Raw genomic sequence first — 23,464 nt, forward strand, 5'->3', positions numbered from 1 at the left:
AATATGATTTTCATCCTGACTTTTTCACTCAATTTTATGTCACAAACATTTTCCTGTGTTGTTAAAAATGCCCCATGAGCCTAACTTTGTGGCTGAGAAGTAGTTGATGATATGGATGTGGCTTACTTTAGTCACCCCTAGCGTTTAGCTTGTTTTCAATTTGTCATGATGATAGAGATCGCTGCAGTGAACATCATCAGATGCACACATGTGCTGCCTTCCAGACACCCGGAGTGGAGTCATTCAATCAGGGAATCAGCCCACAAGCATGTTGCCCTCTCCATCTGGAGCTTACATTCTGGTACCAGAGTCAGGCAAAAGGGACTGATAATGTAGGAGTTGATGTAACGAGGATGCAATGAAGAAATATAAAGCAGGGTAGGAAATAAGGAGTCACCAGGATGGGAGGGGCTGTTATAGACACAGGTCAGGGAAGGCCACTCTGAAGAAGGGATTCTTGGGCGTAGGGAGGAAGTGAGCCAGGTAGCTGCCTGGGGAAGAATATTTCAGGCAGAGAGCCACATGGCGCAGTGGTGAGAGCACCAGCTCTGTTGCCAGCCGGCCTGGGGCTCATATCATAGTTCAGTCACTGACTAGTTGTGTGACGCTGGGCAAACTACTTAACCTCTCTGTACGTCAGTTGTCTCAATTACAAAGTGAGGATGAAAATAAGAGGGCCTACCTCAATAGGGCAGTTATGATAACCAAGTGAATCGGTGCTTGCAAAGTGCTTGCAACAGTGCCTGACGCACAGTAAGCATCATATGTAAATAAAATCAGAGAGGAAGTGTGGATCCACAAGTACCGAATAGGCCGGGCATGGTGGCTCACGCCTGTAATCCCAGCACTTTGGGAGGCCGAGGCGGGCAGATCATCTGAGGTTAGGAGCTCTAGACCAGCCTGACCAACATACAGTGAAACCCTGTCTCTACTAAAAAATACAAAAACTGTAGTCCCAGCTACTTGGGAAGCTGAGGCAGGAGGCAGGAGGATTGCTTGAACCTGGGAGGCAGAGGTTGCAGTGAGCCGAGATGGTGCCACTGCACTCCAGCCTGGGCGATAGAGCAAGACTTCGTCTCTCAAAAAAAAAAAAAAAAAAAGTCCCGAAGAGAGCCTTTATGCATTGCTGAGAGCAGAAGGCTCTGGATGCACATTGCTAAGTTCTCACTCCCGTATTTTTTTAAACCAAAAATGACCACCACAGGGTCACCCAAACAACAAAACACTCACAGCTTCTGTTGAGCTGATGGTTGGAAAATAAGCAGCAAGAAAGAGACAAGATTAGGGTCTTGGGCTTTTTAGAGTCAAACTCATGCCTTGTTCCAGAACACAAGGCAGACAGTCAAGTCAGCAAATATTCACGGAGCATCTCCTCTTCCTGGGGCGAGGAGCTGGACCCGGCCTCTGTCCGGAAGGGGCATTTCCTGCCTCAGCACAGGCGCTACAGCTTTGCTCTCAGTCCCCTAAGTAAAGGAGCTGCTCAGCCTTGACTAGCCTACAACAGCCAGGGCTTTCCGGTAGATTCTGGCACTTTCTATGCCCCACCCCTTGTGGTTTCTTAGGGCTGCTGAAATGAATGACCACACACCTGGCGGCTTAAACAACACAAATGTCTTATCCTACAGTACTGTGGGACAGAGCTCCAGCAAAGGCCTTCTGGGGCTGAATTCAGGGTGCAGCAGGTCTGCGTTCCTACTGGACGCTCTAGGGGAAAATTATTTGCCTTTCCACTTCCAGCTTCTAGAAACTTCTCTGGGCCCCTGCCTTCATCTTCAAAGCCAGCTATGTTGCGTCTCTTTGCCTTTCCTCTGCAGTCACTTCTCCCTCTGCCTGACTTCCTGCTTCCCTCCACCCCTCTCAAGGGCCTCAGTGATTCCACTGGCCCCTCAGAAAAGCCAGCATCACGTTCCCACTCTGAGGGCAGTGCTTAGCAACCCAAATTCCATCTCCAAAGCCCCCCTTTCCTTGCAAGCTAAAATATTCGCAGGTTCTGGGGACATGGCCCATTGGAACTTGGACCTCTTTGGGGGCTATTGTCCTGCCCACCACGGGGGGTTAGCCTTGGACACTGTTTTCTTCCGATTTCTCCTGGACGAGAGCAGAAACAAGCTCAGTGAAGTGACTCTCCTGAGGTCACAAATGCTGGATAGAGTCAGAGCCAATGCTTCTGACTCTATCTGTTGCTGAGCTCTGTGTAGACAAAATAAACCATCTGCCGGCTGATGTCACAAGGGCTGCCCCGCTCGGCAGCCTCAGTGAGCTCCTCTCTAGAATGGGGATGAGGATATCCACTTGGAAGCCTGCTCCTCCCAGCCCGGTCCCCAGCTCACACTGGATGCTGACTAAGTGTTTCCCCTTTTCCTTTCCACTCTCTTTCTTTCCACCAGAATGTGGTGACAGATCTATTTTCGAGGGAAGAACTCGGTATTCCAGAATCACAGGGGGGATGGAGGCGGAGGTGGGTGAGTTTCCGTGGCAGGTGAGTATTCAGGCAAGAAGTGAACCTTTCTGTGGCGGCTCCATCCTCAACAAGTGGTGGATTCTCACTGCGGCTCACTGCTTATATTCCGAGGAGCTGTTGTAAGTACCATGGGCCTCCCACTGCCACCTCTCAGGGCGCCCACCCCTGGGGCACCCTCCCCCTCACCCACACCTGGTGGCTGAGAGGAACCTGCGACTGCTCGGTATCCAGTCGGCATGAATGGCTCCCACCCATCCACCCACCCCCCAGCCTGTGGGGACGTGGAGGTAGCCAGCCTGAGGCTGTGTCCTCCTCACATCACCAGAGCCAGTGACTACAACCTCCCTGAGGTCACACCTACCCTCTCCCGGAACACCTGTGGCTTGATGGAGCCAAGCGGCTTGGTCCAAATGCCTCTCCTAGGGCATTCAAGTCCATCTAGGGGGAAATCCTTGTAATTCTGGAAGCCTGACTTCCTGGGCCACCTGACCCCCTACTCTCCTGCTCCTTGTAGAGCGTTCTCTGTGTGACAGCATGTGGATGGATGCCTGGCATTACCAAGGACTAACTATGTGCTGGGGACCCTGCTAAGAAACTTTCCCCTATTGGCCGGGTGCGGTGGCTCACGCCTGTCATCCCAGCACTTCGGGAGGCTGAGGCAGGTGGATCAGGAGTTCGGTGGTCAGGAGTTCGAGACTGGCCTGGCCAATATGGTGAAACCCCATCTATACTAAAAATACAAAAATTAGCTGGGCGCGGTGGCGTGCGCCTGTAGTCCCAGCTGTTCAGGAGGCTGAGACAGGAGAGTTGCTTGAACCCAGGAGGCAGATGTTGCAGTGAGCCAAGATCGCACCACTGGCACTCCCGCCTGGGCGACAGAGCGAAACTCCATCTCAAAAAAAGAAAAATAAACTTTCCTCTATTAACTCATTTAATCACACAGTGACCCCTGAAGCAGGTAGAATGAATAGCCCTCGTTTATAGATAAGGAAACTGATGTCCAATACACTGAGGCTGCTCACCCACAGTACCCATCTAGTATATAGAGACAGAATTCAAATTCTGGCTCTAGCACTTGTGCTTTCTGCCACACCAGCTCAAGGAAGTTTGAAGACACACACACTGATTTTAGAAGGTTAATCAAAAACCCGGGGACAGTTTCTTCATGGCATAACCACAGACCTTTGTGGCACCCGCTGTCGTGGGATATCAAATATCCTCTGGGGTTCGGAATGTGGGCTTATTACTGAAGATCCTGTCTGCTTGGTCAGTGGCAGGTCTAGACTAACTTCTGGTCCTGAGTTTCTAAAGTGCTGGTAGACCAGTTGATACAAAACAGATATAATAATGAATGCCTTATCTATCTGAAGGTCAGTTTGATCCGTGCCAAGTGGCTTTTTGTGGGCTGTGTAGAGTGCTCTAAACCCAGCTCGGCCTTTGCTGTATTAGACAGAAGCACCTCATTCATATCCCTGGGGCCCCTGATGGTGCAGTGGTCTGGCTGTGGTCTGCACACCAGCTATTCTGTTTTGTTTTGTTTTGTTTTGTTTTTTCCTACCTTTTTCCAATCCTCACACCTTCTGATCAACAGCCCCAGTAGGGTTTAAAGGTCCTAGAGCTACATGGGATTTAGGTTTCTGGGCACAGCCAATTCTGCCGCTTTTGAGACTTCCCTTCCCCTTCCACTTGCCCCTCTCTGGTTCTCTGCCACCAGTCCAGAAGAACTGAGTGTCGTGCTGGGGACCAACGACTTAACTAGCCCATCCATGGAAATAAAGGAGGTCGCCAGCATCATTCTTCACAAAGACTTTAAGAGAGCCAACATGGACAATGACATTGCCTTGCTGCTGCTGGCTTCGCCCATCAAGCTCGATGACCTGAAGGTGCCCATCTGCCTCCCCACGCAGCCCGGCCCTGCCACATGGCGCGAATGCTGGGTGGCAGGTTGGGGCCAGACCAATGCTGGTATGTGACTGCTCAGCTTCCCCTGGGGAAAAAGCCACTGCAATGTGAAGGAGAGGGGAGGAAGCTAAGGAAGGAGTGAGGACAAGACTTGCATTGGAGCAGATTCCCGCTCAGTGGAGTCTCACAGTGCCCAAAGTTTAGCTCCTTTTGGGTGCCGAAACCCCAAGGTGAGACACCAGGTCTGAGCCAGTCCCCTAGTGCAGTCTGATCCAGCTAGCACAGAGCAGTGTGGTTTGTGTGTTTAACTGAATTTAAACTCTGCAGTTAGCCAGAGGCCCCTCTACTCTGTATTCATAAACATCTTCCCTGATTCCCACGGGTATGTTTCCTACCTGGCTCCTCCAGGCATTGGAGATTCCCACCCTGGGCTAGGCTCTGACGGTCCTGGAGCGTTGCCTGGCTCTTCTTAGAAATGAATCTGTTGTTCCTTGTTGTTATGCTGTTACTTGGCCAAAACAGAAGAAAGTCTACTGGGACAGAAAAATATGACGAAGGGCCCGCTGGACTGTCCCCCAAAAAAACCCAACAAAACCAAAAGCAAATAGATAGGGGAGGGGAGGGGATGAGAACAGCAAAGCATTGCGTCAGCCTGAAGGAGGCTCTCGATCCACAGGGATGATTTGCAGCGAGCCTGGGCCTGGACAACCGTGGGTGTTTCAGGAGTTTAGCAACCAGAGGGGGAAGCGGTGGGACCTTAGTTCTGGGCTCCAGGCACTCCTGGAAAGGTAGAAGAAGGAGAGGAGGCACATGGGCATGCACAAGTTTAAAAATCTTCAATCAGGGGAAGAAATGTGAAATCTCTTTGTGGTCAGAGTTAATGAGATGGAGAGGAATTCAGGTGAATTCCCGGCATCTGGCGGCCCAGAAAGGGCCTCTGCAAATCCCCTCTAATCCCATCTCAAAACACTCTGCCAACCTGCCCTTGCTGAGGACCTAAAGTTTTTTCACCGGGAGTGCAAACCCACTTTCCAAGGCCCTGTGTGAAGGAAATGCCATCCTCATGTAATAAAATGTCACAATAGGCAAATGTATTGATATGGCAGGATTATGCTGAGAAACAGTCAGTAGCCAGTTCCAAGAAGCTGAGTCTGTGGGGCTGACTGGGGTCAAGTTGGAAGTCTTCTTGGGAGTAGAAATTTGGTTTTGAATGAGAAGAATAGTTCCAGTAGCTGTGGGAGTTGTTGGGGGAGTGGGTAAGTTGCAGGCATGGGGTAACCTGAAGGAAGTGAGGGGCTGCAGAGCCTGTGAAGGAAGGGGATGGGGGCTGGGGGACACAGGGCCGAGGGCACAGTCAGCTGCATCACGAACGTGGGGACATGAGGCCCAGTGGCTTCTCTAATGCGCTTTCTCTCTGGGCCAGCTGACAAAAACTCTGTGAAAACGGATCTGATGAAAGCGCCAATGGTCATCATGGACTGGGAGGAGTGTTCAAAGATGTTTCCAAAACTTACCAAAAATATGCTGTGTGCCGGATACAAGAATGAGAGCTATGATGCCTGCAAGGTAACTAGGGGGTACCCTCCCTCACCTTATAGGTCCTCACCCTCTGGGAACTGCCAGTGCAAGGGTATTCTCTCTCTGCTGCAAATAGACAATTCTGAGTCTGGAAAATGTATGGGAATTAGGGCCTGCAGCCATGAGAATGAGTATGTGGATTTCAGATCCTCTGGAGCTGTGAGTGAGCACCCTGGGAGTCAATATGCTGCAACCCTGCTTAACTATTTCTGATCTTCTTCAGGTACACTAGGTAAAAAGGACGCCAAGGCTTTTCTCATTTCTGGGAATTCTTTTTAAAAATCCAAGGAGGATTTGGTATCTATATAAGAAGTCATTTTAGTTCATTAACTTAGAAACCTTTGTTGAGCATACAAGGCCCTAGAGACCCATAAATGAGATATGGTTCCTTACCTAAGGGACCCTACAGTTTCCTGGACAGGCAGTGGATAAACAAACAATGATAAAATATTGGGTGTTGCATGTGGGTTTCACTGAACCAAAGACTGGTCTCTTTGCCTCTCTTTAATAAAATGAATACACGTTCTTTCTAAAAAATTATTGATAGCCAGAAAAATAGAAAAAAAATCATAAATTTCCTCTGGCTCAAAGGATGAATGATGACATTTGTCTTTAATGCTCAGAGGTGCTCCCTTCATCTTAAAAGTGGCCACCCTGATGAACCTGCTTAGTCTCAGCTGAAGACTAGGGACCTGCTCATTGGCCAGGCAGTGGACCTTGTCGTTGGTATAAAACCACAAATGAAGATGATAAATATTCTGAACAGTGATGGAGAGGCTGCCCCATGGAAAAGAAAGATATTTATCTATCTGTTATGGTTTAATGTGAGAAAATTGGTAGTTTTCCCTGATAGGCTATGAGAGCCTTGAGAGGTGGGTACTGAAACAGGGGTTGGAGGCAGAAAGGGAAAAGAGAAAGGAGAAGGCATTCTGAGGTAAGAAGTAGACCCTGGCAGCATAGCACTAGGTTTAGGAGCCCCCCATGTGGTGAATACTGTGGGGACCAAAAAGACACATGAACCTTGTATTTTCTTCACTTTCTGGGCAATTTAAAATATTACCAAAACAAAAAAAACAAAAAAACATGCACACAGAATTGAGACTTCTGGTTCCAGACAAGACGGAGTAAACACAATTCTCCCAGCCCCTCCCACTAAGTACAACTAAAAGCACGGGATAGTATCTTGTAAAATAAAAACAAAAAGGCTCTGAAAGGTGAAGAGAAAGTGGCCTGGCTGGAGATCCTCAGGTATTTCTTTATAGTGATGCAAGAACGCACTACACACATCTTGACCAGAAAACATTAACTGTCCTCCCTGATTAGAGTTTGTTATAATACTCCATTTACTCTAGTCACCTCTCAAGGATCATGGAATGAGACATCATCTCTCCACTGAAGACTGCTTGCAAGGTTGTAGCTGCTCAGCTCCTTTGGTAAGAGAGTAATATAACAAAGGTAGGGAGGGCATGGACTTTGGCATCAGCAAATCTTAGGTTACACATACCTCAAAATAATAAGAGCCCTCTATGACAAACCCACAGCCAACATTATACTGAATGAGCAAAAGCTGGAAGCCTCCCTCTCAGGACCAGAACAACACAATGATGCCCTCTTTCATCACTCCTATTCAACATAGTACTAGAAGTCTTAGCCAGAGCAATCAGGCAAGAAAAAGAAATGAAAGGCATCCAAATAAGAAGAGAAGATGTCAAACTATCCCTCTTTGCAAATGATATGGTTCTATACCTGGAAAACCCCATAGTCTCTGCCCAAAGTCTCCTAGAGCTGATAAGCAACTTCAGCAAAGTTTCGGGATACAAAATCAATGTACAAAAATTTGTGACATTTATATACACCAGACAACACACAAGCTGAGAGCCAAATCAAAAATGCAATCCCATTCACAATATCCGCCAAAAGAATAAAATATCTAGGAATACAGACAATCAGGGAGGTGAAAGATCTCTACAATAAGAATTACAAAACATTACTGAAAGAAATCTGAGACAAGATAAACAAATGAAAGACATTCCATGCTCATGGATAGGAAGAATCAATATCATTAAAATGGCCATACTACCCAAAACAATTTACAGATTCAATACTATCCCTATCAAACTACCAATGACATTATTCACAGAATTAGAAAAAAATTATTTTAAAATTCATATGAAACCAGAAAAGAGCCCAAGTAGCCAAGGCAATCCTAAGCAAAAAGAACAAAGCTGGAGGCATCATGCTATCCAACTTCAAACTATACTACAGGGCTATGGTAACCAAAACAGCATGGTGCTGATACAAAAACTGACACATAGACCAATGAAATAGGTTAGAGAACCCAGAAATAAAGCTGTACACCTACAACCATCTGATCTTCATCAAAGTCAACAATAACAAGCAATGGGGAAAGGACTTCCTTTTCGATAAATGGTGTTGGGATAACTGGCTAGCCATATGCAGAAGATTGAAACTGGACCCTTTCCTTTCACCATCAACTGAAATCAATGCGAGTTGGATAAAAGACTTAAATATAAAACCCAAAACTGTGAAAACACTAAAAGAAAGTCACACTACAAACCACCATTCTTGACATAGGCCTTAGCAAAGATTTCATGAGGAAGTCTCCAAAAGCAATTGCAACAAAATAAAACGTTGGCCCAATTAAACTAAAGAGCATCTGCACAGCTAAGGAAACTATTAACAGAGTAAACAGACAACCTACACAATGGGAGAAAATATTTGCAAACTATGCATCTGACAAAGGTCTAATATTCACAATTTATAAGGAACTTAAACAACTCAACAAGCAAAAACTAAACAACCTCATTAAAAAATGGGCAGAGGGGCCGGGAGCGGTGGTTCACGCCTCTAATCCCAGCACTGTGGGACGCCAAGACCGGCGGATCACGAGGTCAGGAGATCAAGACCATCCTGGCTAACACGGTGAAACCCCGTCTCTACTGAAAATACAAAAAATTAGCCGGGCGTGGTGGTGGGTACCTGTAGTCCCAGCTACTCGGGGGGCTGAGGCAGGAGAACGGCGTGAACCCAGGAGGCGGAGCTTGCAGTGAGCCCAGACTGCTGCCACTGCACTCAAGCCTGGGTGACAGAGCGAGACTCTGTCTCAAAAGGCAGAGGACATGAACAGACACTTCTCAAAAGAAGACATACATGCAGCCAACAAGCATATGAAAAAAAAATAAAGCTCAATATCACTAATTATTAGAGAAATGCAAATCAAAGCCACAATGAGATATCATCCCATACCAGTCAGAATGGCTGTTATTAAAGTCAGAAAATAACAAATGTTGGTGAGGTTGCAGAGAAAAGAGAATGCTTCTACACTTCTGGTGGGAATGTAAATTATTAGTTCAGCCACTGTAAAAAGCAGTTCGTAGATTTCTCAGAGAACTTAAAACACAACTACCATTAAACCCAGCAATCTCAATACTGGTACAGACCGAAAGGAATATAAATTATTCTACCAAGAAGACACATGCATGCATATGTTCGTCACAGCGCTATTCACAGTAGCAAAGACATGGGATCAAACTACATGTCCTTCGATGGTGAACTGGATAAAGAAATTGTGATACACGTACACTGTGGAATACTACGAAGCCATAAAAAAAAACAAAATCATATCCTTTGCAGCAACTTGGATGCAGCTAGAGGCCATTATTCTAAGTGAATTAGTGCAGGAACAGAAAACCAAATATCGCATGTTCTCACTTATAAGTTGGAACTAAATGTTGAATACACATGGACACAAAGAGGGGAACAATAGACACCAGGACCTACTTAAAGGTAGAGGGTATGAAGAGGGTAAGTAAGGTAGTTTTTTACTACCCATCAGATACTCTGCTTACTACCTGGGTGATTAAATCATTTGTACACCAAACCCCAGTGGCATGCAATTTACTCACATAACAAATCTGCTCATGTACCCTATGAACGTAAAATAAAAGTTGAAAAAGAAAATAAGAAAATCTTGGGTTACAGGATGGAGGGTACTAAAAAAATTAAAAATAGAACTACCATATGATCCAGCAACCCCACTTCTGGGTATACGTCCAAAAGAAAGGAAATCAGTATATCGAAGAGACATCTGCACTTGCATTTTTATAGGAGCACTATTCACAATAGCCAAGATTTGGAACCAACCTAAGTTTCCACGAATGGATGAATTGATAAAGAAAATTAGGCAGTATACACGACGGAATATTATTCAGCCATAAAAAATGAAATCCTGTCCTTTACAACAGCATGTATAGAACTGGAGGACATTACATTAAGTAAAATAAGCCAGGTACAGAAAGACAATTCATATTCTCACTTATAAATGGAAGCTTAAAAAAAAACTCATGGAGATAAAGAATGATGGTTACCAGAGGCTGGGGAGGAAAGCAGGTGGGGACTCCAGTTAAGGAGCACGAAAACACAGTTAGTTAGAATGAATAAAGTCTGGTATTTGGTAGCACAATAAAGTGATTATAGACAACAAGTGTATATTTCAAAATTAACTGGAAGAGTGGAATTGAAACGTTCTTAATACAAAGAAATGATAAACGCTTGAGGGGATGGATACCCCAATTACCCTGATTTAATTACTGCACATTGTATGCCTATATCAAAACGTGTACCTCATAAACATACAAAACTATTATGTACCCATAATAATTAATTTAAAATTAATAAAAAGAAAATCCTGGGTTCCAATCCCAGCCAGTCTACCATAGAACCCTCAGCAAGCCCTTTCTCCTCCTGCAGGCTCATTTGCCTTGTGTGAAGGTGGACGGAAGGATGTGGGGCATTTGTTTGATTTATGTAGACGTGGGGCATGGCAGGGACTTGGTTCAGAAGCTCAACATAAATGGATAACTATGCGAGTCACAGACCATGTGATTCCATCCTGGAAGGGTCACACATTCTGAAAAGCGTGGCTGAATTAAAAAGGAATGTCCTTCTCTCTGTGCTTCTGCAAGAACACAAAGGAGACCCAGTTCTTAGCCCTGCAACACTTCACATGTCCCATTCCCTTTCCTGCCCTTTCCAGAGCCTCTCATTTGATAAGAGCCTCTCATTTGATAAGACCCTCAAAACAAGTCTCCACTCATCCCTTGGCCTGCATCTCTCTGTGCTGCAGATGGAGTGGTCTTTTCTTACCAAGGCTTCCCCCTTCCTTCCCCATCTTCAGTCCTGTCTCATCCACAGCACCCCACCCCCAACGCTCTACACCCCTACAACCTCCAGAGCCAACCTGGCAGCCACATGCTTCTCCCGTGGAGCAGGGATGGGGTGGGTTGGCAGCCAGAGTTGGGGAGGCTGAGGAATCTTCCATGAATGAGCTGTGCCCAGCCTCAGATGGGCAGCTTAGAACCGGACTCCCTGCTGAGCTGTGTTCTCTGCCCACAGGGTGACAGTGGGGGGCCTCTGGTCTGCACCCCAGAGCCTGGTGAGAAGTGGTACCAGGTGGGCATCATAAGCTGGGGAAAGAGCTGTGGAGAGAAGAACACCCCAGGGATATACACCTCGTTGGTGAACTACAACCTCTGGATCGAGAAAGTGACCCAGCTAGAGGGCAGGCCCTTCAATGCAGAGAAAAGGAGGACTTCTGTCAAACAGAAACCTATGGGCTCCCCAGTCTCGGGAGTCCCAGAGCCAGGCAGCCCCAGATCCTGGCTCCTGCTCTGTCCCCTGTCCCATGTGTTGTTCAGAGCTATTTTGTACTGATAATAAAATAGAGGCTATTCTTTCAACCGAGGGAGGGTGCATGCAAGTGCGTCTCCAGCAGAGGCTCTGTCTGCAGCTCAGGGCTCAAGGATGGAAATTGAGGCTGGGACCAGGAGGACCAGAGAGTCACCCTGGGTCCCTGGTTTGGGGACTGCACTTTGGGTCTGTGGATTAGTCAGGACTTTTTCCATTCTAGGTGACAGTCACCTAATTCTGACTGAATTCAGCCAAAATGAGGCATTTATGGATACATATAACAGAAAAAAAAAAAAAGCCAACAAACAAATATCCAGGGCTGGCATGATGACTTCAGGCGTGGCTGAGTCCAGGGGCTGAAAGGTGAAGGCAGTGACTGTTGTCTGTGGCCATTACCCTCAAGAGGGCTTCTCAGCGGTGATGAGAACAAAGAATTCCCTGTTGTTCTAGGAAGTTAGTCTCTTAGTTCTACGCAGGCCTTCAGTGGATTGGACAAGGCCCACCCACATTATGATGGGCAATCTGTTGATTCAAAAGTTATCAATTTAAATGTCAATCTCATCCAAAGATACCCTCCAAGTTGACATATGAGATGAACCACCACGCTGCCCAGGCAGCCTTCACATGGTGTTTTACATTACTCCTGTCCATAAAAACGAACGATGTGCTTATGCTCACCCTACCTTAAAGACAACAGCTTACTGTAACCCTTCTATGGAGCATGTTTCCTGAGGACCCCACTGATATGGTTTGGCTATGTCCCCACTCAAATCTCATCTTGAATTATAGCTCCCATAATTCCCACGTGTTGTGGGAGGGACCCACTGGGAGATAATTGAGTCATGCAGAGGTTTCCCCATACTGTTCTCATGGTAGTGAGTAAGTCTCACGAGATCTGATGGTTTTATAAGAGGTTTCCCTTTTCGCTTGGCCCTTGTTCTCTCTTGCCTGCTGCCATGTAAGATGTGCCTTTTGCCTTCCACCATGATTGTGAGGCCTCTCCAGCTACATGGAACTGTGAGTCCATAAACCTCTTTTTCTTTATAAATTACCCAGTCTCAGGTACGTCTTTATCAGCTGTGTGGAAACGGACTAACACACCCACTTTTCAAAATCACCTTTTTTCCATTCCCTACCTTGGGCCTTCTCTCTTTTGAGGCAGGCAGGCCTGAGCTCCCCTTTCCCTCGCCTCTCAAGCTGTCACCAGTTCTCCCTTCTGGCTCATCCTGGAGCCAAGCTGATGGCGCTCCTCTCTTGCTCTCTCCTTCATGTTCAGAGGCTCTCGCCTCTGCTTTCAGCTGACCTCCCTCCATGGCTCAGCCCCTCCGAGTTGCTTGCTGTGTTCCACCAGCGTGTGGGATGCCCCCGCCGCTCGCACCAGGCAGGACTCCCCCACCCTGCAGCATGCAACTGCACGGGCTGGTGTGGGGCGGACCACAATTCACAAGAAGTCCCTCGAGAACGTGTTCCTGTCTTCCCCTCATGTAGACCCAGCGCTGCCGCGTGCTTCTTTCCTCTGGATTCGAATTTCCTGGGCCACCACCGAAGATGCAAAGGCAAATTCAGGAAATGCAAATCCTTAAATGGAAGCTTGGGCTTTTCCTGGGGACCTACAGCCTGGCTGAGTGTTCTCCAGAAAGAGACTGAAGAAAAGCTTCCTGGTTGGGCGAGGTGGCTCATGCCTGTAATCCCAGCACTTTGGGAGGCTGAGATGGGTGGATCACCTAAGGCCAGGAGTTCAAGACCAGTCTGGCCACCACGGTGAAACCCCGTCTCTACTTTAAAAAATACAAAAGTTAGCCGGGTGTGGTGGCGGGCACCTGTAATCCCAGCCAATCGGGATCCTGAGGCAGGATAACGGCTTGAACCCAGGAGGTGGAGGTTGCAATGAGCGGAGATCACGCCACTGCACTCCGGCCTGGGCATCAAGAGTGAACTCTATCTCCAAAAAAAAAGAAAAAAGAAAAAAAGCTTCCTAGTTATCCTTTTTCCCACTCTAACCCTACTCCTCCAGAGGTCCTACAGCTACAATGTCTAGAAGCCATTTTTTCAGAAGCTCCTAAGAACCTGGGACTCAGGCAGGCCCAGTGGAGGGTGGCCAGCTGGAGTGTTCACCATCTCAGGACATCACCACTGTCCACTCCACTTTCCTGCTCACCGCCCTCTGACTTCTGTGTGGGGGCCCTCCCTTTTCACCCACTCTCCAATTTGCATAGTTCTGGATGGCTGGCCCTTTGCTGGGGGCTGGGGTGGGCATAGAACTCGAGCCTGGCCTAGAAGGACATTGATTTTGGCCACAGGGATGGGAGCAGCAATGGGCTGTGGGCTTTATAGGTCACAAGAGCAAGACCAAGACTTCTGCTGGAGTTATCAGGAACAAGACTGACTGACTCTCCTGGGACTCCCAACATGGTAGGGTGCATGTTGAAGGTACTGCTCATGTGAAGGCTGCTGGGGAGTGTGGTGGTTCCTTTTGTCTGTCAACTTGGAGGGGATCTGTGGATGAGATTGATGTTTAAATTGGTAAACTGTGACGAAGCAGATTGCCCTCCATAATGGGGTGAGCCTCATCCAATCCGTTGAAGGCCTGAGTAGGACAAAAATGATTGGCCTCCCCACACAAGAGGGAATTCCTCAGCCGCCCACCTTCAGACTTCATCTGCATTGTCAGCTCTTCTGGGGCTCTGCCTGCCAGTCTCTAAACCAGAGCAGCACCACCAGCTCTCCTGCATCTCGAGCCTGCCAGTCCACACCCCAGGTTTGAGCTTGCCAGTCTCTGTAATCAGGTGAGCCAATTCCTTATAATAAACAGCTTCATATCTGTACCTATATCTATATTTATATCATCTATATCTCATCTCTGTATCAGCTCTATCTATCTATCTAATCTATCTCTCCTGTTTTTTCTGGAAAACCTGACTAATATGGGGGAAGAGCTTCTGTACTGTGAAGGGGCTTCTTAGAAAATGAGGTGGAAGCAATGTTGCTGTTTCACTTTTCTTTTTTTGAGACATGGCCTCACTCTGTCGCCCAGGCTGGAGTGCAGTGCCATGATCACAGCTCACTGCCACCTACATCTCAGGCAATCCTCCCAACTCAGCCTCTCTAATAGCTGAGTCCCAGCCTCTCTAATAGCTGGGACTACAGGCGCACATCACCACACCTGGCTCATTTTTTAAAATTTTTTGTAGAGATGGGAGTTTCACTATGTTGCCCAGGCTGGTCTCAAACTCCTGGGCTCAAGCAGTCCTCCTGCCATGGCCTCCCAAAGTGCTGTGATGACAGGCATTAAGTCACCGCACCTGGCCCTGTTTCACCCGTGAAAGCAACGTTTTGTCATGATATGGAAATTGTCAGTTTAAACATTATCCAGTCAATTGTGATTAGTTAGGCTACAGGATTATCATGTGTGTCCCAAGAGAGTTTTCATACCTAGAGTCACACAGTGTAGTGTGTAAACTGCACTGTGGTGCCCCAGTGCGGATGTGTGGGGACAAAACAGACACACAGAGACATCTGTTGGACATCAAGGGAAACAACAATGTCTGTTGGACATGGAGTTGACCACTGCTGCTAAGGTGTTTAAACTTAACAACGTAATAAATGCAATTGTTAGGTATTTCATTTGGCCTAGAAGCACCATGCGGGGGAAAAAAAAAAAAAAAAGCTAAGACAATAAGGGAAAGTTTGAAAACCTTTGGCCTCAAGGATAACTGCTGATGTTAATGTTTTGTATTTAAGAATAAAGGGTGAGTTTTTACAATAGTTTTGTGGTGGGTAATTTGAGAGTAGCCCAAACGTCTCCTTAAAGATGACCTGGACAGGCACGGTGGCTCATGTCTAATCCCAGCACTTTGGGAGGCTGAGGCAGGTGGATCACCTGAGTTCAGGAGTTCAAGACCAGCCTGGCCAAGATGGTGAAACCCCATCTCAACTAAAAATACAAAAAAAAAATTAGCTGGGTGTGGTGGCGGGTGCCTGTAATCCCAGCTACTTGAGAGGCTAAGGCAGGAGAATCGCTTGAACCCGGGAGGCGGAGGTTGCAGTGAGTCGAGATCATGCCATTGCACTCCAGCCTGGGTGACAAAAGCAAAACTTTGTCTCAAAAAAAAAAAAAAAAAAAAAAAAGACAACCTCTTGGAGGGATATGAAATCAAGAATCAAGGCTCAGGTGTCTGTGGCTGTTTTGTCTGCTCTGCACCCAGTGGCTCCAGTTTATTTGGGGGAACCCTCTTCCTTATTGCAAGTTTCTGATGTCACCTTTCTCAAGATCCATTTCTTATGGACAGGTAGACCCTACCTCTGACTCCAGAGGTTGCATGGGACCAGGCCTGACCAATGTGAGGCCCTCAACCCAGGGCCTCAGGATGTCTTTCAGGATGGCCCTAAGAACCAAGCTTGGCAATCTTGGCAAGTCCCAGAACTTCACCTGGGACATGCACAGGCTCTTTGAGATTAGCAGCTCTCTGTCTGCTAGGACTGACCCTTGGAGAATGTAAGCCCGGAGCTTCTGGGGGCCCCATGCGGAAGTGACTGCCCTGAGAGTGAAGTCAAAGCATGAAGACATCACATCCTGGTGACATTTTTATAGCCCCTAGAGCCAGGCATGCCTGAACAACAGATTTCTTTTTCTTTCTTTCTTTCTTCTTTCTTTCTTCCTTCCTTCCTTCCTTCCATCCTTCCTTCCTTCCTTCCTTTCTTTCTTTCTCTCTTTTTTTTTTTTTTCCAAGGTCTTCACTCTGTCGCCCAGGCTCAGTGCAGCGGCACCATTTTGTTTCCTTTAACAAATCTGTCCCTATCTTCCCCTTTCCCTTATCCTTCCTGGTTTCTAGTATTCTCTGTTCTAATTTTTACTTTTATGAGATGAACATCTTTTAGTTTCTACATCATATAAGCATTTACAGCTAGACATTTCCATCTCAGTGCTGCTTTAGTGCATCACATATGTTTTTGTGTGTTATGTTTTCACTCTCATTGACCTTAAAGTATTTTCTAATTTCCCATGTAAGCTCTTTTTACTCATTGATTATTTAAGAGTGTGCTGTTTAATTTTCATATATTTGCAATTATTCTTCTGTTATTTATTTCTAATTTAATTCCACTGAGGTTGGAGAACATACTTTGTATTATTTCAATCCTTTTAAAAATTTGAGAATTGCTTTATGGCTTAGAATATGATCTATCCTAAAGAATATTTTATGTACTGTATTTTAAAAAGTATATTCTGCTATTATTGGGTAGCGTGTTCTATAGATGTTTATTAGGTCTAGCTGGTTTATAGTATTGCCAAAATCCTCTTTATCCTTGTTAATCTTCTGTATAGTTGTTCTATCCATTATTTAACATGAGATTTAAGTCTCCAACTTCTGTTATTAAATTGTCTCTTTCTTCCTTCAATTGTCATTTTTTGCTTCCAATATTTGAATGTTCTATTGTTAGATGCACGTATGTTTACAGTTGTTATAGCTTTCTGAATCATTGACCCTTTAGTCATTATAAAATGTCTCCCTTTATCTCTAATGAATTTTTTGTTTTACAGTCTATTTTGTTGATATCATTAGCACCATATCAGCTCTTTCATCATTATCATTTGCATAGTTTATCTGTTTCTTTTTATTTTTAACCTACTTATATATGTGAATTTAAATGTGTTTCCTGTAGACAACACATAGAACTTGTTTGTTTATCCAGTCTGACAATCTCTGTCTTTTAATTGCATTTTTAGTCCACTCACATTTAATGTGATCATTGATATAGTTTGATTTACATATGCCATTTTGGTTGGTTTTCCTGTATGATGCTTTTCCTTTTTGTCCCTCTGACCTTCCTTTATAGCCTTTTGTGTCAAGTCAATATTTTCTAGTGTAGCATTTTAATTTTTTAATGATGCTAATTATATTTTTGAGTTGTTTTCTTAGTAGTTGCACTAGAACTTATAATACACATCTCAACTTATTAGAATTAACTTCTGGTTTAGACTAACTTATTTCTAGTAAGAGATCAAAACTTTCTTCCTACGTAGTCCTATTTCCTCCTCCTCTTTTTTTTGCTATTATTTTCCTATATTTACATCTACATATGTTATAAATCCAAAAATACCTCACTATAATTGTTACATTATTTAACTTTATGTCTCATAGATTTTAAGAGAAGAAAGGAGATAAAGTATGTATTTATAGAATTTTTATATTAACTTTAACAGGGACAGAAAACTGACTGTGTGCTCTGTTGACCCAGCCTCAACAAACAGGACATGGTGGCCTGCACCTGTGCTTCTCAGACCATCTGTGAGGAAAAAGACCAGGGCTTTTGGTTTTTGGTTTTGCTTCGAAATTTCCAACTTATTTCAAACCAATACTTTCATAAAACATAAAATTGAACTACTCGAAAAATGAAATCGAAAATGAACAAATAAAATGCAAGCCCACACTATTTTTTTTTTTTTTCCGAGAGTGTCTCACTCTATCACCCAGGCTGGAGGGGAATAGTGCAATCAGGACTCACTGCAGCCTCAACCTCCCAGGCTCAAGTGATCCTACTGTCTCAGCCTTTTAAGTATCTGGGACCACAAGTGTGCACCATCATGCCTGGCTAATTTTATTTTATGGAGAGATGGGGTCTCACCATGTTGCCCAGGCTGCAAACTTTATTATTACAGTCAACCACATAACCCACTTAACTTTAAGTTGCTGTAAAGGTTTCTAAGCATTTACTCTCCATTTCTATGCTTATCTCTTCTTGGGCCAGTAACAAGCAGTTTTCAGACCAGCAGTAGTCCCTGTTCCACACTTCAGAAGCATTTCCCTACGAGACCCAGACTTTAATCACCAAGAAATAGAGGCCACCTGGCTACCAAGCCCAGGCTTTCTAAGGTATAAGAGGATCACATTAGAATATGCATTGGATTGGAATGAAGCTTTCGGTGTGGCTCGTAAATCATCGTTTGAATTGAGACTGTAGAGACATGTGTTATTCATTGTCTTGAGCAGTAAAAACTCACAAAGCATCTCAGCGTCCTAGCCCAGAATAGCTTAATTGGGCACTGTTGCTCTGCAATGCAAAGTGCATGTTTAATTCTGAGTTCTGCATTTTTACATCAGAACCGGCCCAGTAAGAGGCATCTTCTATCTTTAGTCCTGGCTTATTGCTCTTTGCTTGCGTGTGTGAATGCTGGGCCCCTCCCTGCAGAGCTTCTTGCCAGAGCGCTGTCCTCAGATTACCCTGAGGCTCAGATGCTGCGTGAGCAGCTGCTGGGCACAGATGGGGAGAGGAAGACAGCCCCCATCTGAGGTCCAAGGAGCAAAGGCAGGGCTCGGTGTCACTTATGCCCAGGGGAACTAGGCTCCCCTGAGCTGAGCCAGCTTCCAGAATGAAGCTGGCCATGGCTCAAAACTTAGCCCCAAGAACGTGAGCCTCTATGTCCCAGGTCCCTTGCCTGTAAAATGAGAATCATTGCATGGACAGAGTAAGGCTATTGAGGCTGTAACGATGCAGAAAAAACCATGAGCAAAGCCTGCCATACACTGAACACTCAGGGAACTAAACAGCCCCAGACAAAGCTTAGCCGCATGACCCCAGGGTTGCCACAGACCCCTATAACCCTCAGCGCTAGCCAGTTCCCTATCTCACCCCTAAATCCCTCCCTGCAACAGGATCAAGTCCCCTTGATGCTCTTCACATCAATCCCAGCAGCTAGTTGCACTTTTGAATGCCTCTGCAGTAACAAGGCATCCAGCATCCGAAAACTGACCACACACCCTGTCAACCCAGCCTCAGGCAGCTCCAAAGCCTTAGACTTGGCTCTGCAGGGCAGCCACGGTGCTCCTGTTGCCCCCTCCAGGAAGCCCTCCTGGTCGCACATGGAGAACTCACCACCTACAGGCAGCCCTCTGCTGCCTCCTCTTGACAAACAAAACAAACAAACAAACAAAAAACACAGGGTCTCACTCTGTTGCTCAGGCAGAAGTTCAGTGGCCCAATCAAGGCCCACTGAAGCCTCACCCTTCCAGGCTCAAGTGATCCTCCCACCTCCACCTCCTGAGTAGCTGATTGCACACAGGAGTGTGCAATCACACCTAGCTAATTATTTTTTGTAGATACAAGTTCCCCCTATGTTTCCCAGGCTGGCCTTGTACTCCTGGGCTCAAATGATCCTCCCACCTCAAGCCTCTCAAAGTGCTGGGATTACAGGTGTGAGCCACGGTGTCCGACCCAGCCCTCAGCTTTGACCAAGAGTACAGAATCCTATGCTGAGCCACATCAGCCTCGCTGTAGCCCAGCAGATGGCAGTGGGCAGGCTGGAAGACCACGCTCTGGCTTCACGGAGCCATGACATCCCCAAACCACACATCTCAGCTACTGCAGTCACCGCTCCTATTTATAGCTCCGCAATTCCCGCCACCCTTGTCACTCGACAACCTCTCTTGCAACACTCTTTCCAGAGTGAGCCGCCGAGGGGTGAGCGTAGTGGTCCAGGCGTGCGCCAGCCGGTGGCCTCTGACACAGGGGCATCACCCCTCACCCAAAGACCGGGCCTCCAACAACGCCCCCTCCCTCCCCGAGAGCCCATGTCTTTTCTCTCCTCTTTGAGCTTCCGGTGGACTGGAAGCCTGCACTGTTTTGCAGAGCTGCTTCTAGACTTATCCCCACCCCGCACTTACCTTTTGTGGACTCCAGAGGTGGACCCCACCGTGATCTTTCTGAACCCTGGAATGTGCGAGATTCCAGGGCCCTCGGCCTCAGCCTCCTGCCTTCCTCTTTCTGACACCGCGGCTGCCTCGCCACATCCCTGGGCCTCCCGGTGCTCTGCTGCTCCGGCCAACCCCGTTAGCAGGCACTACCCAGGCTCGAAATCCCAAGCTGGCACCTTCCCCTTCCCGTCCCTCCTTTTCCCTTCCCTTCCCACTCCTTTTTCCTCCTTTTCTTTCCTTCCCTTCCTTCCTCCCTCTCCCCTTCCCCCACCCCCCGCCCCGCCCCGCCCCAGTCTTGGTGGCTTGTTCCGGATCTGGTGTTGCTCATTCACTCATCAAACATTTGCCGAGAGTCTTTTATGTGCCGTTGCTGTTCCAGTCACGGGGAAGAGCAGGGAACAACATGTCACGCCCTCAGAAGCCGACACTCTAGGGGAACAGACACCGTAAACACACAGCTTTACTGAACATGACTGGTGGAGAGGCACAGAGGAGAACAGGGAAGAAGGAGTGTGGGCGGAGGAGGGACTCCTTCCTACCCCAGGTCACAGGGAAGGCCCGGATGAGAGCAGAGACCTGGAGGACAGGAGGCTCAGGACAGGACTGCTCCGTGTGAAAGAGTGTCTCGGGGATCTCTGGGCCTTTCCAGAACAGAGATTCCCAGAGCTTTGCAGAATGAACAGGCTTCCTTAGGGAGCTGGGGCGGGCTTTGGAGAGGGGGCTCAGGCAGCGAGCGCTCAGGTGGGCCTGGCTGGAGTGGGGTGCAGTTCCCAGATGTCGCCTCAAGGTGGCAGAGTGACTCCAGACCAGGCACGAGGGCTTCAGTGTCTCCCTGTGCTTGGTCAGGACTGGAGACCTGGGGCAGCCAGGCAGGTGACAGACACAGCCCTGGAGGGGGAGGGAAGCAGAGGTTCCCTGAGAGCTGGCTGGAGCCTTCCAGGAGAGGCTTGTCCCCACCCTCCCGGTGGCTGCCACCCTGCTGGGCCCTCACGGGTGGGGCCCTGGGCCCAGGCATTGCATCCGATGGGCTGTGGCACCGCGGGGCTGCACTGGGTCCTGGGAGCTGGGAGACGGTTTCCCTCACTCTGAGGCTGGGGTCACTTTGGACCCTTTCCTTCCTGACACGGTGAGCCAGGAATCTGGGCCAACACCTTAGCCCCGGCCATTCCCCCTGCCTGCAAGTCTCCTGCGGAAGCAGACGAGGAGCTGTTGGGACAGAAGCCCAGGCACAAGGTGGGACCCGGCAGCATGAGGCACCCACGGCTCCAAAGCCTCAGACTTGGATCCGCAGGGCAGCCACAGGGCTCCCGTGCCCCCCTCCAGGCAGCCCTCCTGGTCACACATCCACTCAAAAGCCTTTTATTAAAGCATCTCCCGTGTGTCAGGCACTGTGCTGGGGACCTGGTGGTGGGGGAGACAGACTAGGAATGGCCAGCCCCAGAGATCAAAGTCAAAAGCAGGGGTCCGACTGAGGCTGGGGTTGGATCAAGCCCACTGTGTGTCTTATCGGAACGCAGCCACGCCTCTTCCCTGGCATCTCGTCTGTGGGTGCTGCTGTATATACAGGCATAAGCTCAATAGATGCAACCAAGGCTAGGTGGCCCCTGGAGCCTGGAGCATTTACTACCTGACCCTTGACAGAAAACATTCGCTTACCCTGGTCTAGAGGGGGAGATGGATGTAAACGGATAGTCACCTCATCATAATAAGTGCTAGGATGGAGGCGGGGGCAGATGAAGGATGGAGCTGGGTCCTGTCCTTTAGGCCTCTGAAAGGTCCCTGCAGCGGCCATGGCCGCGGAGAGCCACTGAAGAGGCTTGAGCAAGAGTGATGTAATCCAATCCCAGAAACTCTGGTGTGGGAAGTGGGAGTGAGGGGACAGCTGCAGAGCCAGTGCCCCGGTGGGAGATGGTTGTAAGAGCCTAGGAGGGGTGGCCTGTAGGGATGGCCCAAGTTGATGGCATTTCAGAGGGTGGATGATGGCATCGGCATGTTGGGATGTGGGCTGGGTACGGGGCTAAGCCCACGTACAGCCTGTGTCCAGCACACTGGGGGTCACACAGGGGCTCACCAAGCCCTGCTAAATGTGACAGTGATGAGACCCCACAGATCATCAAGAAAAGACCCTGGTTCTAAGATGCGAAACAAGGCCCCAGGAGCTCAGCCCACCTGCTGTTCAGTGGCCATGTTAGGGTACCAGGCAGGGGCTTCCTGACGTCGGTTCCAACGCTCAGTGCCCCTTTTCAGCTGTGTCTCTCCCCCTGACTTTGGAGAAAGACGGAGTGCTTGGGACCATGAAACAGCACAGGCACAGCCAGCAGCTCCCCGCTCTGTCATTTCTCTAAACTGCAATTTTCTTATCTGCAAGGTGGTGGTAAGGCCCTGTTCCCGGCCTGGCTCTCAGTCTTTCTGTAGTGAAATGATGCATAGAGAAGCACTGATAACCCATAAGTCATTTTTATCTTTTATTTTTAATTTTTGAGACAGTCTCAGTCTATTGCTCAGGCTGGAGTGCCGTGCTGTGATCTCAGCTCACTGCAGCCTCCGCCTCCCAGGTTCCATCGATTCTCCTGCCTCAGCCTCCCAAGTAGCTGAACTACAGGTGCGCGCCACCATGCCCTGCTAATTTTTGTATTTTTAGTGGAGACGGGGTTTCTCCATGTTGGCCAGGCTGATTGGTCTTGAACTCCTGATTTCAGGTGATCCACCCACCTCGGCTTCCCAAAGTGCTGGGATTACAGCTGTGAGCCATTGCGCCCGGCCCACAGGGCATTTTAGCTATCCAAGTCATCACTATCCACAGAGAATTACCTAGGGAGCCCCATAACACAGAAGTGGGGGTCTAGAACTCCCAGCTCCTGAAATGCAAGGCTGGTTATGGCCAAGTCAATGAAGGAAGGGGCCGAGCCTATGGAGTCAGCAGCCTGGCCTCACGTCCCTGGCCTCATAAGCCTGTACTAGTCCTGGCTCTGGTGTAGCATCATCTGGTGGCAGTTGGCTGCTGTGCCTTAAACAACAAGAATTTCTGGGACCCTTGATGGGACTTCCAAGACAGATACAAACTCCAGCACACTCCCAGCTGATGCCGTTTTGTTGAGTTGACTGGAGAAAATTGGAGCACAGG

At 47.7% G+C, this 23,464-nt stretch overlaps 2 protein-coding genes across 8 annotated transcripts in view, besides 1 other annotated feature; one reads left to right on the forward strand and one right to left on the reverse strand.

Moving 5' to 3' along the window:
- PRSS51 (serine protease 51) overlaps positions 1 to 20,604 on the reverse strand; it is a 66,431-nt gene extending 45,827 nt beyond the window's left edge. Inside the window, exon 1 of one of the 2 annotated variants that reach the window (XR_007060820.1) lies at positions 20,311 to 20,604. The gene's annotated coding sequence lies outside the window, so the exon portion shown is untranslated. The remainder of the gene's footprint in view (positions 1 to 20,310) is intronic. The other variant, XR_007060819.1, reaches the window with a different exon arrangement.
- PRSS55 (serine protease 55) overlaps positions 1 to 23,464 on the forward strand; it is a 28,635-nt gene that overhangs the window by 1,588 nt on the left and 3,583 nt on the right. Inside the window, exons 2-6 of one of the 6 annotated variants that reach the window (XR_948897.4) lie at positions 2,388 to 2,580; positions 4,176 to 4,426; positions 5,787 to 5,929; positions 13,985 to 14,436; positions 17,853 to 18,082. Coding sequence is in view for 5 of the 6 variants with exons in the window: in XM_047421492.1 (XP_047277448.1) it covers positions 2,162 to 2,580; positions 4,176 to 4,426; positions 5,787 to 5,929; positions 11,357 to 11,674 (1,131 nt within the window). In the remaining variant the exon portion in view is untranslated. Of the gene's footprint in view, positions 1 to 1,142; positions 2,581 to 4,175; positions 4,427 to 5,786; positions 5,930 to 7,293; positions 7,415 to 11,356; positions 11,701 to 13,984; positions 14,437 to 17,852; positions 18,083 to 23,464 lie in introns of those variants that run through there. The other 5 variants (XM_005272372.5, NM_198464.4, XM_017013182.3 and 2 more) reach the window with 5 other exon arrangements.
- Positions 21,854 to 22,848: an enhancer, noted in NCBI's record as "H3K27ac-H3K4me1 hESC enhancer chr8:10406483-10407477 (GRCh37/hg19 assembly coordinates)". NCBI's record gives its function as "activates a minimal SCP1, AML or CMV promoter by ChIP-STARR-seq in primed H9 embryonic stem cells {active_cell/tissue: H9 hESC(primed)}" and the evidence as "EXISTENCE:reporter gene assay evidence [ECO:0000049][PMID:30033119]".

This window comes from Homo sapiens, chromosome 8 (genome assembly GCF_000001405.40).
Source record: "Homo sapiens chromosome 8, GRCh38.p14 Primary Assembly".
Classification (NCBI taxonomy): Eukaryota; Metazoa; Chordata; class Mammalia; order Primates; family Hominidae; genus Homo; species Homo sapiens.